The sequence below is a fragment of the Homo sapiens genome, chromosome 6 (assembly GCF_000001405.40).
Source record: "Homo sapiens chromosome 6, GRCh38.p14 Primary Assembly".
In the NCBI taxonomy this organism is placed as follows: domain Eukaryota; kingdom Metazoa; phylum Chordata; class Mammalia; order Primates; family Hominidae; genus Homo; species Homo sapiens.
This window is the reverse complement of record NC_000006.12, coordinates 149,311,293-149,325,132: the sequence shown is the minus strand read 5'-3', so window position 1 is coordinate 149,325,132 and position 13,840 is coordinate 149,311,293. Positions and strand designations below refer to the sequence as shown.

The 13,840-nt window shown below is 40.7% G+C and overlaps 1 protein-coding gene across 9 annotated transcripts in view, besides 6 other annotated features; it reads right to left on the bottom strand.

Annotated features, from left to right (window-relative positions):
* TAB2 (TGF-beta activated kinase 1 (MAP3K7) binding protein 2) overlaps window positions 1–13,840 on the bottom strand; it is a 193,682-nt gene that overhangs the window by 86,475 nt on the left and 93,367 nt on the right. For 2 of the 9 annotated variants that reach the window (NM_001369506.1, NM_001292034.3), the window contains exon 1: window positions 7,118–7,421. The exons of 1 other annotated variant lie outside the window; for it this stretch is intronic. The gene's annotated coding sequence lies outside the window, so the exon portion shown is untranslated. Of the gene's footprint in view, window positions 1–3,742; window positions 4,659–6,042; window positions 6,129–6,350; window positions 6,447–6,743; window positions 6,834–7,117; window positions 7,422–13,840 lie in introns of those variants that run through there. 6 more of the 9 variants (XM_047418487.1, XM_047418489.1, XM_047418486.1 and 3 more) reach the window with 4 other exon arrangements.
* Window positions 874–1,074: a silencer, noted in NCBI's record as "peak6211 fragment used in MPRA reporter construct". NCBI's record gives its function as "represses an SCP1 promoter by STARR-seq MPRAs in K562 erythroleukemia cells {active_cell/tissue: K562}" and the evidence as "EXISTENCE:reporter gene assay evidence [ECO:0000049][PMID:32103011]".
* Window positions 6,089–6,198: an enhancer, noted in NCBI's record as "active region_25253". NCBI's record gives its function as "activates an Ori minimal core promoter by ATAC-STARR-seq in GM12878 lymphoblastoid cells {active_cell/tissue: GM12878}" and the evidence as "EXISTENCE:reporter gene assay evidence [ECO:0000049][PMID:35858748]".
* Window positions 6,359–6,538: an enhancer, noted in NCBI's record as "active region_25252". NCBI's record gives its function as "activates an Ori minimal core promoter by ATAC-STARR-seq in GM12878 lymphoblastoid cells {active_cell/tissue: GM12878}" and the evidence as "EXISTENCE:reporter gene assay evidence [ECO:0000049][PMID:35858748]".
* Window positions 6,629–7,528: a silencer, noted in NCBI's record as "silent region_17660". NCBI's record gives its function as "represses an Ori minimal core promoter by ATAC-STARR-seq in GM12878 lymphoblastoid cells {active_cell/tissue: GM12878}" and the evidence as "EXISTENCE:reporter gene assay evidence [ECO:0000049][PMID:35858748]".
* Window positions 7,619–8,158: a silencer, noted in NCBI's record as "silent region_17659". NCBI's record gives its function as "represses an Ori minimal core promoter by ATAC-STARR-seq in GM12878 lymphoblastoid cells {active_cell/tissue: GM12878}" and the evidence as "EXISTENCE:reporter gene assay evidence [ECO:0000049][PMID:35858748]".
* Window positions 8,209–8,278: a silencer, noted in NCBI's record as "silent region_17658". NCBI's record gives its function as "represses an Ori minimal core promoter by ATAC-STARR-seq in GM12878 lymphoblastoid cells {active_cell/tissue: GM12878}" and the evidence as "EXISTENCE:reporter gene assay evidence [ECO:0000049][PMID:35858748]".

Sequence of the window (13,840 nt, the reverse complement as noted above, 5' to 3'; positions counted from 1 at the left end):
TTATTATACTTCATTGACTCCCAACACGGTAAAATTAAGATATTTAGTTAAAGAGGTGGGGGCTGAGAAGCTGAAAAATTAACAAAGAGATCAACTAAAAACCAAAAGCAGTATTTTCCTAGCCTGGGCAACAAAGGGAGATCCTGTCTCTATAAAAAATTTTTAGAAATCAGCTGGATGTAGTTGCGCACACTTGTAGTCCCAGCTATTCAGGAGGCTGAGGTGGGAGAAAGGCTTGTGCCCAGGAGTTTGAGATTGCAGCGAGCTATGATTGTGTCACTGCACTCCAAAAAAAAAAAAAAAAAAGTAATATTTTCCACAGTTTAAAACCAGGTAAAGTCTCTTCTACCCCTATGGCCCCAGTTCATATCAGAATTACTGCTTTTGTTGATTTCTCTGACTAAACAAAAGTTGCTTGGCCTGAGGACAATGTTCTGCAAGGTCAAGTTGCTGAGTTCAAGTTTTCATCTGCATTAGCAAGTATTTTTCTCTCATTGATGAGGAATGGAAAGTCACTCCCCTGAACTGCCCTGCCACTGGCTCTATACTGATGAGCCAAGCAATATCTCTGGCCTGCTTCACTGGCAAACTGACAGGAAGCAAACTTGTGATGTGCTCAATTTTGCTAACATTAAAAAAGGTAAACATTAAGATATTAAAGGTCAAAAATAATTTTCCTTAATATCAATGTGAGAGTAAAACTTTAAGCTAAAATTCAAAATAATATTAATAATATTATTTAATGATTCAGATGATGGTTAATAAACTGGTGAATAAAAATTTATAGATCAAAAATTACTCTTTCCTACACATTTTAATGGATTATTTTAAACAAGTCTATTATTAACAATCGGCATTCACACATTTCTACCAAAATCTCTGCTAAAATCCCCATTCCTATACTCTTGCTGCTTCTCTCTCTCTCTCTCTGCAGGACCTTTCCAACCTCTACTTTATTATCTGGCTTCTGTGACTTGTACTAGGAGCACTGGTACTAGGCCGGTTTTTGTTTTTCTTCTTAAGTGAAACAAGAATTCCATTTTCTTTTAACAAGGCAATTAAAATACTACAAATTCTTATACTGCTCTTGTCTCTTGTACTTGTTTGTAGGTAAATCAGACTTCCTTTCTGAAGCCACTCAAACTGACACCTTGTAGGAATTATTTCTGTCCTGTAGTAGACAGTTATTGTTCAAAAAAAGCAAAGAAAAAAAATTACAAGAGTATAAAATATTCAGTTGTATGTATTCCTATCTCATTTCTAAAGTAGTACTGTGGCACATCAAATACTAAAATGAAATACTTTTCATCCTATTTGTTCATATTTGAATATAAAGCACACGATACATGCTTTGTGGAGAACTTTTTAAAAATCCAAGAAATATTTTGGGTAAATGACTGAAAGCCTCATAACCTGACAGAAGTCTTAAGTTTGGGGAAAGCTAAAATTATTATTCTTTAGGTAGAGGATAACTTACAGCAGAACAGGAAAGAGTTGACTGGTACTAAGATTTAGGCATCTGAAGAATGCTTAAAATACTGTGAAGATGGGAGGTGGGATGCTGGTGGGACGTTTTCACTTTTCAGTGAAAACACCAGTATTTCCTGTATCACAGAAATGTAAGTAAACGACCAAGCTATTTAATCCATAAAACCAGGACAAATCTACACTTTCATTGAAATTATCTTAAAAAGATAAGGTAAACTTGTTCTTTAACAGTTAAGAGCAAATAATTATTCATAAATTTTCTTCTACTCTTTTAAAAACTGCTATATTACTTTTTCACTTTGATGCCAATAACATCATAGAAATAGGTTAATGAAGACTAATCTAGCTACAAATAATTGATTTCTTCCTCTCAATTTCTAGAATATTTTTTGAACTTTTGGCTAGATTCACAAAATAGCATTTAAGAGACTTTGCATAATGATATCTTATTCAGTGCTTAAAATTAAAAGTAGAGATTCCAGTGCAGTCACCTTTCAGACTCAGGAGTTTACTACAAAAAGAGCTGTAATTTACAGAAAAATGATCATTAAGAACTATTCAACATTTAACACACAGTATTTCTTGAGCTCTTAACTACAGGCCAACCACTGAAAATAATGTGAAGTAAAGACTGAAAGGAAGACATGTTCTGCACTTGAGGTGCTGTTTCGTGATCTTCCAGTCTAAAAATGAAAATAAGTATTGCAACTTGCATGGTTATTCCACTCTTCCCTCAAAAATCCCATTCACAATTTGAGTTATTTTATCTTTGCAAAAACTTTCCTTAATAATTTGTATAAAAGATTCTTTGAATTAACAAGCAAAATGATGACAAAAAGCAAACATTTACTCTATAGTTACTATGTGCCAGGTACTGTACTAAATATTTTAAAAGTATTTACATGAATTGGAATTTTATACACTGTTATTTCCTTGTTAAAATGCTGAGATCCAGCTCATCAACCTATTCAACAACATACGACACAATGTTCCTTCACCAGAAAAAGAAAGATATCGTATCCATTTTACACAGAAGAAAACAAGCTCAGAGAAGCTAACGAATTTTAACTGATCCCAAATCTAGTGGCAAAGCTACTAAGTGGCAAAACCAGGATTAAAAACTCCGATTTTCTATCCAGCCATAAAACAGCTTTCTGAAATACTAACAATAGGAAATCGCTGTTGAAACTCTGTAACTTTGAAGTATAAATACAATTGTGTTCTGAAATTTGAAGTGTATTCTTAAAGGAAAAATTTTATGTATGGGATAGGTTTTGCTTTTTGAAATCAAGGATAATACCCATTACACAGTTTTTAAAAAAGCTCAATAAGCAATGTTCATTCCCTAACTCCCTTTTCCGTTTTATTTTTCTGCACAGTACTGTTTTGTCCCAGGCATATTACACTGTACTCATTTATTAAGTCTTTTACCACTAAATGTAAACTATATGAAAACAGCTATTTTTGTCTGTTCTTCAATACGGCACCTCCAGCATCTGGAAGAGTCCCTAGCACATAATAAGTGCTCAATAAATATTTCTGAAATGAAGAAAAGCTTGGCACACAGTAGGCATTCAATAAATATTAGTTCCTTTCTCTTTATTATGCAGGATATCACTCCCTGGGTACCATATTCTGAACTGGAATACATGATTAGAAATGAAATAAAATTTCTTATTAAAGTTTTACATTACACATGAGTAAGGCAAATCAAAAAGTCACATTCAGCAAAGCCTCATTTATGAAGCATAAAGGTAAGGGGGTGTATGTAAATTAAATTTTGAACAAATGTACTTTTAAGTGCCAAAACTTTAATCAATTTTCATAGACATCTTTTATTCATATAACATACACAATTTTACTTTGTGATAATTCTGACTTGGATGTCCTGAAACATCACTTGTCAGCTGACACTTCTCACTCTGCTCACTCCTTTTCTAAGGAATAGGAAATAAAGTAAACATATTCTGTAAAATGAGTCAATAAAAATCCAAGTGAAAATCCAAGTGAAACGCATAACCTCAACGTAGGAGCTGTGGGATCATTATTCTGGCATCTTTTTCTTTTCCTAGGAGGCTGAATGAATGTAGGTTAAGTACCACTTACTAGTAAATAGGCTGTTTTGAGAGATGGAATACTTAGAAAAAGATAGTACCCTCTTAGCAATCTCTAATTCCTTAGTTTTATCAAGATCAGTCAAGTTTAGTGATTAACTAAAGAAAACATAAAAAGTATAACTCCTAAGAGTACTTACTCAGGTTTTTTAGCTTTCTGAGTAAGCAGCGTCCTTGATTTTTTAGGACCAGAATCATAAGAAACAAAATGTTAAAATACTGTTAAGTATTCTGGAAATATGAGCCAGAGGCAAAAACATATGAACATGCATACATTTAAATTCTATATAATTTCAATGTCTCCAAATCCTTATCATTTTAATACAGAGGGTTTTAAATAAGATGACATATATAGAGTGTCAGAACCTATGAAAAGGTTCAGAGACAATCTCCTTTGTACAGTTCAGCATGATCATTTTCCTGTGCTTGGCAGCCACCACTACCCACATCTCCACATTCCTAGCTGCCTAAAACTTTTCATCTAATTCTCTGCTAGCATCTTATCCTCTGTCTCTCCTCCTCCTTATTACTGTTTTGCCCAATCTTCACATGTGCCTCTGTTATTACCTCATAATCCTTCCATTCTAGAGAGACCCAATGTTAGATCAAATAAAGATGACATAAGTGAAACAAAGGAAAAGTGCTACTAGTGTTCTCTGGGTCATGGGAACCTGGCCAGAGAGAGATATAATGGAATTATAATTTGGATTTTTCAATTACAGTTTAATTTATGAACTTTATATATTATAAAGATTATCAGGAACTTTCCCCCAAAATATCTATAACAAGGCAAAAATTCTGAAGTATGATAAAAAATAAACTTTTAGTCTTGATCTGTTTATATAACTCAAAAAAAAATGCTGTTTTAGAAAATACACATTCCTCAAGGACTTTTTTTGCAAGTAACTCATAGAGTAAAACAGCCTACATTATACTTATTTTTCAAAATGCAGTAGGTTCACAGATACACATATGTACATTTCACTCTAAACAGTATTTTGGGAAAAGAAATTTTCCTTACTGGGAAAATTACGGATGTAGAATAAACTTCTATTTCTGCCAAGACACAAATGTAATAAGACATTTAACCAAGTGTAAGTTGTTAATACTAAAGAAGCAATTCTCAATACTGACCTAAGTGGGGATCTGCCTACATAACTGCGGAGTTTAAAAACCTCATTTCATTAGGCATTTGGGAGGCTGAGGCGGGTGGATCACCTAAGGTCAGGAGTTCGAGACCAGCCAGGCCATCATGGTGAAACTCCATCTCTACTAAAAGTACAAAAATTAGCCGGGCGTGGTGGCAAGCGCCTGTAATCCCAGCTACTGGGAAGGCTGAGGCGGGAGAATCCCTTGAACCCGGGAGGCAGAGGTTGCAATGAGTCAAGATCGCACTACTGCACTCCAGCCTGGGTGACAGAGCGAGACTGTCTCAAAACAAAAAACAAAGAAAACAAAAACAAAATTAAAAAAAAATTGTTTCCCAGTCTTAGCAATACCCTTAGCTGAAGGCAAGCGCTTTTTTCCACTAGAGGACCAAGCATAGGTGTGATTTCAATCAAACGGGATTAAGTTAAAATTTATTTTTCAAAAAACATGTATTTGATGAGGTTCTGACCATTTTATCCACTTCTTAATGAGTCACTAAAGCACACGTTCTACTATGAAATAGTTAACTAAAGGGGGTTCAATAGTAGCATTTCATCAGTGTCCTTAAGAGAATACTTTTAAACTCAGGAAAAGTAACTCGATGCACACAAAAGAAAAAAGAAATAATGGAGTATATTCAGGGGATAACTTATTCATCTATAATTGACGTATTCAACTTTCAGTTTGATTCTTGAAAGATTTAAAACTTAAGCACCCTCTATTAGAAACTGATTAGACCTATGGGGGAAAAACCCAAACAGAAGTTCTGAATCACTGGAATTTTTGTTCTATTTCCTGTTAACACATTGATAGTACATCATATTCGTTCCATACATGTTTTTTTAAAGCAGCAGAATCCTTAAACTAACTGTACCCTAATTTAGCCTATAGCTCATGTATCTAACAATTCTTCCCATTGTTTCTAATTAAAATGCTCAGCCAAAGCCTACAACAAAAGAAAAGCAAGTCTTCCTTTATTACAAACTGCCATGGTTTCAAAATTTACAGTTTCAAACCGTCAAAAGTTTAAAATCGTGATTTCATTGTTACAAAGAATGTAAAGATATTTTTTAAAAGGTGTCAATACTCTGCTACTGTATGAACAGTGTAGTAAGCAGAAGTGAAAAAACTGAAAGCAAATATTCTATTCCATGCCCACTAAAATTCCCGGCCAAATCTGGAATTGCATAATGATCATCATAACCTTTAGAGTATGCTAAAGCGGAAACGAAATTCCTTTTCTAAAATGTGAATCAATCTGACCCCAAAATTAGACACTTTACAAACTTACCTAAAACAGACAAAATGGATGCAAAATTATATTGCCGTACAGTTGCTCTGAATACGATCTTAGCGTTCAAGAACTTTCCAATGAATAAGGGTACTCAACAGCCTGCACTGGGGGCCTAAATTTCGTGAACTACGGAGAAACCCCTGTGAGGCTGCAAATTCCCTCCGCTCTCCTGGAAAACCCTCTTATCAGAAACATTTGAAGAATTTATCCACAACAATTAAGCTGACTTGAAGAATGGAAACCTAACATCTCAAATATACTATATATGGAATGAAACATGGCCAAACACATAAATACAAACTCACACGGTCTCTGACACTTTGGTGTACGACTGTGCCTGAACATCTCACAGCATCAGCAACAGAAAGATCCACCTGTCACCTGTTCAGCACCGCCAAGAGACCCTTGCAGCCTCCCTGACTCAACCACAATCGTAGGGTTTGAGGTTGATGGGACCGAAAACCAGAAACATCCAGTGAAATTTAAGGGGCCACATATTCATAGTAGGGCTTGCCCCCCACTTCAAAGACGGCTGCAGAAAACCAAGATCCGCAAAGGAACGATGTTCTCCCTCCCGCCCGACCCCCACATAACTGCCCCGTGTCTGTCCCCAAAACCCCCGCCCCTGAGTCATCTTTAACTAGACCTCGGCTCCCCAAAAGGAGATTTTTCCTCCCCCGCCCCCACCTCACACATGCCTGGGGGCGGGTCAGGGGCGCCGACGCAGGGAGGGGCCCTCCCGAGCCCCTTGCGCCCTCCCCCACCCGGGGCTCTCCTAGGCGCTCGATTCCAATGAAGCTCCCCCTCCCCCCCCGCACGGACGCCCCGGAGCCCAGGCCCGGCCCGATGCTCCCCACCCCCACCGGACTGGGGGACTCGGGGGGCCTCCCTCTCCGCCACGCCACTGGGGGAAGGAAAGAGGCGGAGGGAGGAAGAGTGCAAGTTAGAAGCGAACGCCCCGCACGGGCCTCGCGAGGCGGCAGAGCCCCTTCCAGACGGAGGGGGGTGCGGGGCGATGAGGGGAGAGCCAGGTTGGGGATCCCGCCGAGGCCCGGCAGCGCTGTCCGCTTACCCTTTGCCGCCGCCGCTTCCCCCTCCTCCTCCTCGGCCGCCGCCGCCGCCGCCTCTCCCACTAGGGCAGCCGTCTCCACCGTCGCCTCCGCCACCACGGCCGCCGCCAGCGCCGCCGCCGCCTCCGGTTCCACCCGGCAGGGGGGACACCTCAGCCCTCCCTCCCTCCCCGCTCAGCCCCCTCCGCTCGCCCGCCGCCGCCAACTCCCTCCGGCCGCCGCCGCCGCCACCGCTCCTGGCTGAGGGGGAGGGGAGGGGGTCGGGCTGGGTCGCCCCGCCGGCGGCTGCAGCAGATCAAAAACGACGGCTGGGCGGCGTCGCCGCTCCCCAATCCTCAGCTCCGGCTCGCTCGGCCTCCCCACCTCCCTCTGCCCCCACCCCCCTCGCGCTCGCCTGCCCTCCCCCCACCCCCCCAGCTCTCGCTCGCTCTCGCCGCGGCTCCGCCAGCCCAGTCCAAATCAAAATACTGTCACACAATATGGCGGCGCGGCGGCCGGCAAACACCGCGAGATCTGCAGCCGCGGCTGAGGCGGCGGCTGTGACGAGGCCTCCCCTAGCCGAACGGCGGGGGAGCAGCAGGCGGCGGCGGCGGCGGCGGCTGCGGCTGCGGCCCGGGGATGCTCTTCCTCCGACCTGTACCCCTCCCCCGACACTCGCAGTCTCTACGCCTGTCTTGCTAGGGCTGGAGGGAGGACGCGGGCCGCCGCTGGGGCCGTGCGAGGGGGGTGCCGGTGCGGGCAGCCCGGGGAGGGCTGGGACCCCCTTTCTCCGCCTGGGCCCCCCATCCTTGGGGGTAGGTTGCGGGTTCCACCTCCCGCCACGGGGGCCGCTAGCAGTTTGGGCTGAGGGAAGAAAGGAACTGAGCTCGCGTCCCAGCTGCACCTAGCGGAGGGGCTGGCCGGGTCCGGAAGTGGGTGGCGGGACTTGCCGGGCGGCCGGCGGCGCCGCGCGGGTGGGGTCCGGGGGCCCGGCCGGACCCCGGGGCGCTGCGGCGGCCGAGAGGAGCAGGTGGGCCCGCGGCGGAGGCTGGCGCCGGGTCGCTGCGGTCCGGGACACACCCCCTTGGAGCCGGATCGCACCGCCGGCTAACGGGAGGGACCCGTGCAGAATCGTCCCTAGGGTGTGCGGGAGACGTCTTGGGAGCCTCACAACTGGCAACTTCGAGACTTGGAAAAAGTGTCGGCTTCTGACTTTTCTTGAGCAGTTGAGGGGGAAAAAAGAAATCTAAATGCTGCGAGGGTTTCGTTGTTTCGATTTTATTTTAATTGCACGTTCCTAGAAGTCCTAGAAGCAGAGCCAAAGACTAGCTTTGCGGGAAGAGGGGGGGCCTTCAAGTTTCTACCTCCTTAAATAAATATTTGTTTAGTGTCCCCCTAGGGAAAAAAAAAGCGTGTTTAATACTCAGACGTTTCTCACAATGTGAAATATTTATTTAAAAATTCTAGCGCTTCCATGGTGTCCAAAACACTAGGGCATTTTTCTGCCCCTGTCCAAAATGTCCATATCCCTGGCAGTTTCTTCCTTGAAACAATTCTTACTCCAGAGAAAAATCCTAAAGGACCATTTTTATACTTTTATTTCCAGTGTGAGCACTGTAGCTACAGTGAGAATTTTTTTTAAACCATCTTTTAAATAGTAGAGCCTTCCTCACAGTTAAAAGTTCTTTCTCCCCACTTCCTTTTTCCTCATTCATCCTTTGAAAATACCTGAAGTCTGGGCTATAGCACCAATTCAAATACTTTGCCACTTCAAAAGCTGAAAGTACTTATGATTTACAATATCGGAATTTAATTATTCTCCATTGGTGATACCATTAAGAGAAGCAAAAGTAAAATTAGGATTTACAAAATTGGGAAGATTCTAGTTTTACTGGCGAGAAGAAATCATTAACTTTAACGCTTTACAGCAGTTCTCTGAGGAATTATTTCCATACTCAATGATAAAATAATTGATTAAATAATTTTAGATAAACTGAATCCATTAAGTAAATTTCACTTGTCTTTGAAACCATTATAAAGTACAGAGGCAACAATTGCTTTTGAAATGGTAGGATGATGTATTTTATGCAAATTTTTAAAAAAATTTATGGAATGTACATGTACGTATTTTAATAGAAATATAATGCTTTATAGATTATAGGTTTGAGCAGGTCAAGTCTAAAAACCAGTGGGGGGCAAAGAAGGTACATATAACAAATACATCCTTGCACCAGCAGTGCACTTAGAGCTATGTAGTCATGAGGAAGCATCAGACAAACCCAAGTAGAGGAAAATAAAATATAAAATAACTAGCCTGTATTTTTAAATCATGACCAATGTCATAAAAGACAAAGACTGCAGACTAGAAAAAACTAAAGACATGGTAACGAAATGCAATATGTGACCCTGAACTGGATCCTTTACTGGAGGAGAAAAATGTCATATAGGACATTATTGGGATAATTGGCGAAATTGGAATATGGGCTGTAGATTAAAGAATTGTATCAATGTTAAATTTCCTGAATATGTTTGCATGAGAATATCCTTGTTTATAAGCAAACACACTGAAATATTAAGGGGTAAAAGAACATGATATATGTGATTTTCTCCCAAACGGTTCAGAAAAAAATAAAATACATACATATACACACATACACACATCTGTTACACACATATACAGAAAGAAGAGATTGATACAATTTAAACCTTGGTGGTGAATCTGGGTTATTTTTAAAATAAAACAATTAAAAATTGGTGAATCCGGATGTTTTTGTACCGTTCTTGCAATTTTTGGTAAGCGTGAAATTATTGCTAAGTAAATAGTTTTTAAAACCCAAGAGCTTTAAACTTCAGAGAGTTCCTTTATCTCACTAAGAGGAGGACTGTTATGAGATAGAGAGATGATAGATCCTTTTACAATGGAACTGTCCCTCTGTTCTGAGTAACCAGAATTTTGGTCATTCAGCCTTTTCTTCTTCCTTATTTAATCTATTTGGATTTGGGACAAAAATAGTTAGGAGTCTTTGTGTATTTGGTAAATGTGATTTCTGTATTTATTGATTCAGTAAATATTCAGTGTCTTTTATCCTCAAGACTGGAGAAAATAAAAAGGAAAAAACAAGACTGGCTTTCAGGTGCTCTGTGTAGTCACTACAGGAAAAAAAAAAAAAAAAGATATAGTTCCTGGACTACATTCAAGAGCTTTTTAGTCTAGTAAGGTCCTGATACAGTAGCCACTTGCTACCTGGGGCTGTTTGAATTTAAATTAGTTAAACAAAATTAAAATTCAGACTTCCAGTTGCACTAGCCACATTTCAAGTGCTCCATAAACCATGTGTTCCATCTGTTCTATGGAACAGGGCTTGTAGTAGAACAGACTGCACTATATAAATAGCATTGATACAAGGTAGCTGGCAATAAATACCATTGAAACTTAGGGGAAGAGGGATTACTTTGCACAGGGTGGAAGTGGAAGAGATATCAGGGAAAGTTATAAGAAGATTGCATATAAACAGGTGAAAGTGAAGCAAAAAGCAAGAGTATTCCAGGCAGAGAAAACATGCACATAGCAGAAAAGGGACCGATATCTGTGAGAGCACTTCATTCTGTGTATCTGTTAACAGAAGGTAGGTAGAGGAGGGAGGGTAGGGATTTATGAAACCACAAATGCTGAGCTGCTGAGCCTGGACTGTTCTCTAGGCATTAGGAAGTTTATAAAGGTCTTTGGACAAGACAACATGAACAAATGATTCTTTAGGAAGGATAATCTAGCAGGTACATGAAATAGATTAGGTTCGAAGGCACAAAGACCAGATAGCACTGTAATAGCCCAAATGAGAGATAATGAAGAGTTAATATAGTGTGGTCTATTGCATGTGTTTAACTTTAAACTTAAATCCCAATCTGTAATGGCTTAAGTAATGAAGAATTTGATATCTCACAAATTTGGAAATTTGGAAATTCCAAAGTAGCATAGACTTCAAGTCTGAAAGATTGAGAAACTCAATGATATCATCCAGGACCAGGTCCTTTCCATTTCTGCTTTGCTATCTTGGGTGCAGGCATCACTGTCTGGTTAATAGTAAGATGGAAGATGGTAGTGGTCATTCCAAGCATCCAAGCCATAATGTCCAGAAGAAGAGAGATCATCTTAAGAGAGGGAAAATGTTTCCCAGAACTGCTCCCCACACCTCCTGACTGAATTCCTTTCCCTTCCTCTCCCATCTCCTAGGCCATAGTTGGATTGCATGCTCATTCCTGAATCAGTCCCTGGTCTACATGGTGGAACAAGTGTCAGGGAGTCAAAGATGGAGAAGTAAGAGTTAAAGATGACTCTGAGGGTTTGAGCCAAATGACTAGGGAACAAGAGAAGAGAAGAAGTTATGGGAGGAAAGATGATTTTTGTAATAGTCCTCAGTTTGAGATGCTAAAGAGACGTCCAGCTGGATATGACCAGCAGGTGAAAACATGGGACTGGAGCTCAGAATGAAGATCAAAGTTGAGGATGTACATTGGAAGTCATCTGCAGAAAGAGAATAAATAAAGCCATGAGATTGCCAAAGGAGAGGAAGGGTGACGAGGGCCCACAAAGCAACCCTGGACGGAGAGGTGCAAACAGGGAAGGCACGGTCAGCAAGCTAGGCAAACCTGGGCCATGTATTGTACAGAAATCAGGGGCAACAGATGGAGTTTCGGGAAGGCCAACAGTGTTAGGAGCTGTGGAGAGAGAGAGCTGAGGTGGGAGGATCTCATGAGGCTGAGGTGGGAGGATCTCCTGAGCGTGGGAGTTTAAGGCTGCAGTGAGCCATGATTGCACCACTGCATTCCAGCCTGGGTGACAGAGTGAGACCCTGTCTCAAAAAAATAAATAAAATAAAAATAATAATTAAAATATATCTGCATATATTTTAAAATATTAGGTGGCAAAGATTGAGGATGGTAATCTGATGGAACTGTAAGGTTAAAAAACGTCTGTTTAGGCAGGAAATAAGAAGCCACGGCCATATTTTTAGGCTGAGAGTAAAATTCAAAGGTGAAAAATTGAGAGTACAAAAGGATGAGATAACGGATACAAAATTACAGTTAAATAAGAGGAATAAGTTCAAGAGATTTATTATGCAACATGGTGACTACAATATTGTACTCTTGAAAATCAGAGAGTAGATTTTAAGTGTTCTCACCATAAAAAATAACTGTGTAAGATGATATGTTAATTATCACAATTCAGCCATTCCACAAGCTTGTGTTGTACAAGACATCGTGTTGTACATGATCAATATATAGAATTTTTCACCCAGCGGTAGAGAGGTTGTGGTGGCCTCCATCCTCTCAAATATGTGAAAAGCAAAGAATTTTAGCGGTTTCAAAACACATGGAGGCAGGGCACAGTGGCTCATGCCTGTAATTCCAGCATTTTGGGAGGCTGAGGCAGGTGGATCACTTAAGGTCAGAAGTTAGAGGCCAGCCTGGCCAACATGGCGAAACGCCATCTCTACTAAAAGTACAAAAATTAGTCGGGCGTGGTGGCACACACCTGTAATCCCAGCTACTCAGGAGGCTGAGGCATGAGAATGGCTTGAACCCGGGAGGCTGAGGTTGCAGTGAGCTGAGATTGTGCCACTGTACTCCAGCCTGCGTGACAAGTGAGACTCCATCTCAATAAATAAATAAATACAAAAAAATTAAAAAAAAGCACATGGAAAGGAGATATCAACTGATGTGATGTGAAGGAAGAGCATCATTCATTCATTTTTATCTTATTTCTCTAACATAAATGAGGTAATTTATGTGCGCATGCTCTTATGTGCACAAAATGTGGTATGTATGTGTTGTGTGATGCCACTGTGGGGAGAAGCACCCGAAGTTGTTATGAACAATTAAAAAATTTATTTCAGAGAATACTAACAGTGGGGTCCATGAGAAATCAGCAGTCCTGTTCACCTACTCAGTTACCCTTTGCGCCAGGACTAGACTTGAAAACAGAAGGAATTAGAATGAGCTAATCTTCTCATCTCTCCCTTCCTTTCATGACATATTGTAGTCTCTTTCATAAAAATCAGAATGGTATTGGTCAGCATAATTGGCAATTATTTACAATCTGTCATAACATCACCTATCTTTAAGCTGAGCTTGGGTGGTCAATACATTTAAGGTTCTTCTTCACCTTTGGATAGCTATCAAACTGTTATTTAAAAATTCTGTTATCTTCCCAACTGGCCAACAATGATGGTTTCCATTTTTGAGACTAGATTCCAATATAAGATCTTAGAAAATATTGCTAAATGTAGAACATGGCATATTGATAACATGGGTGTAAAGCACAAATGTGATAGGAATTTGGGGCATACAAAATTTACTAATTATAAACCAGTTACTAACACTAGCATTGACAGTGGTACCATTACTACTACTACTACCAATTCACAACTAAAGATAGGGAGGTTTAAGAGGTTAAATGACTTACATAATCTAAAACAACTAGTAAATGAACAGTGGGGCTTTGAATAGATCTTCTGACCCCATACACTGGGTCCCTTCACCATACCATTGCGCAAGACATATTCTCTGTGCTTTAACAATTTTCAAACAACTATTAATGGCAATAATAAAACGGGTAGACAGTTTAAGAGAAACTAAGTTACTCTGGGAGTTTCGAGAGGAGAAGATCACAGGAGAGGGTTATTGGAGGTGATATTCCAGATGAACCTTGAACAAGAGTTGAAATTTCAATTGACAGAAAAACGGGA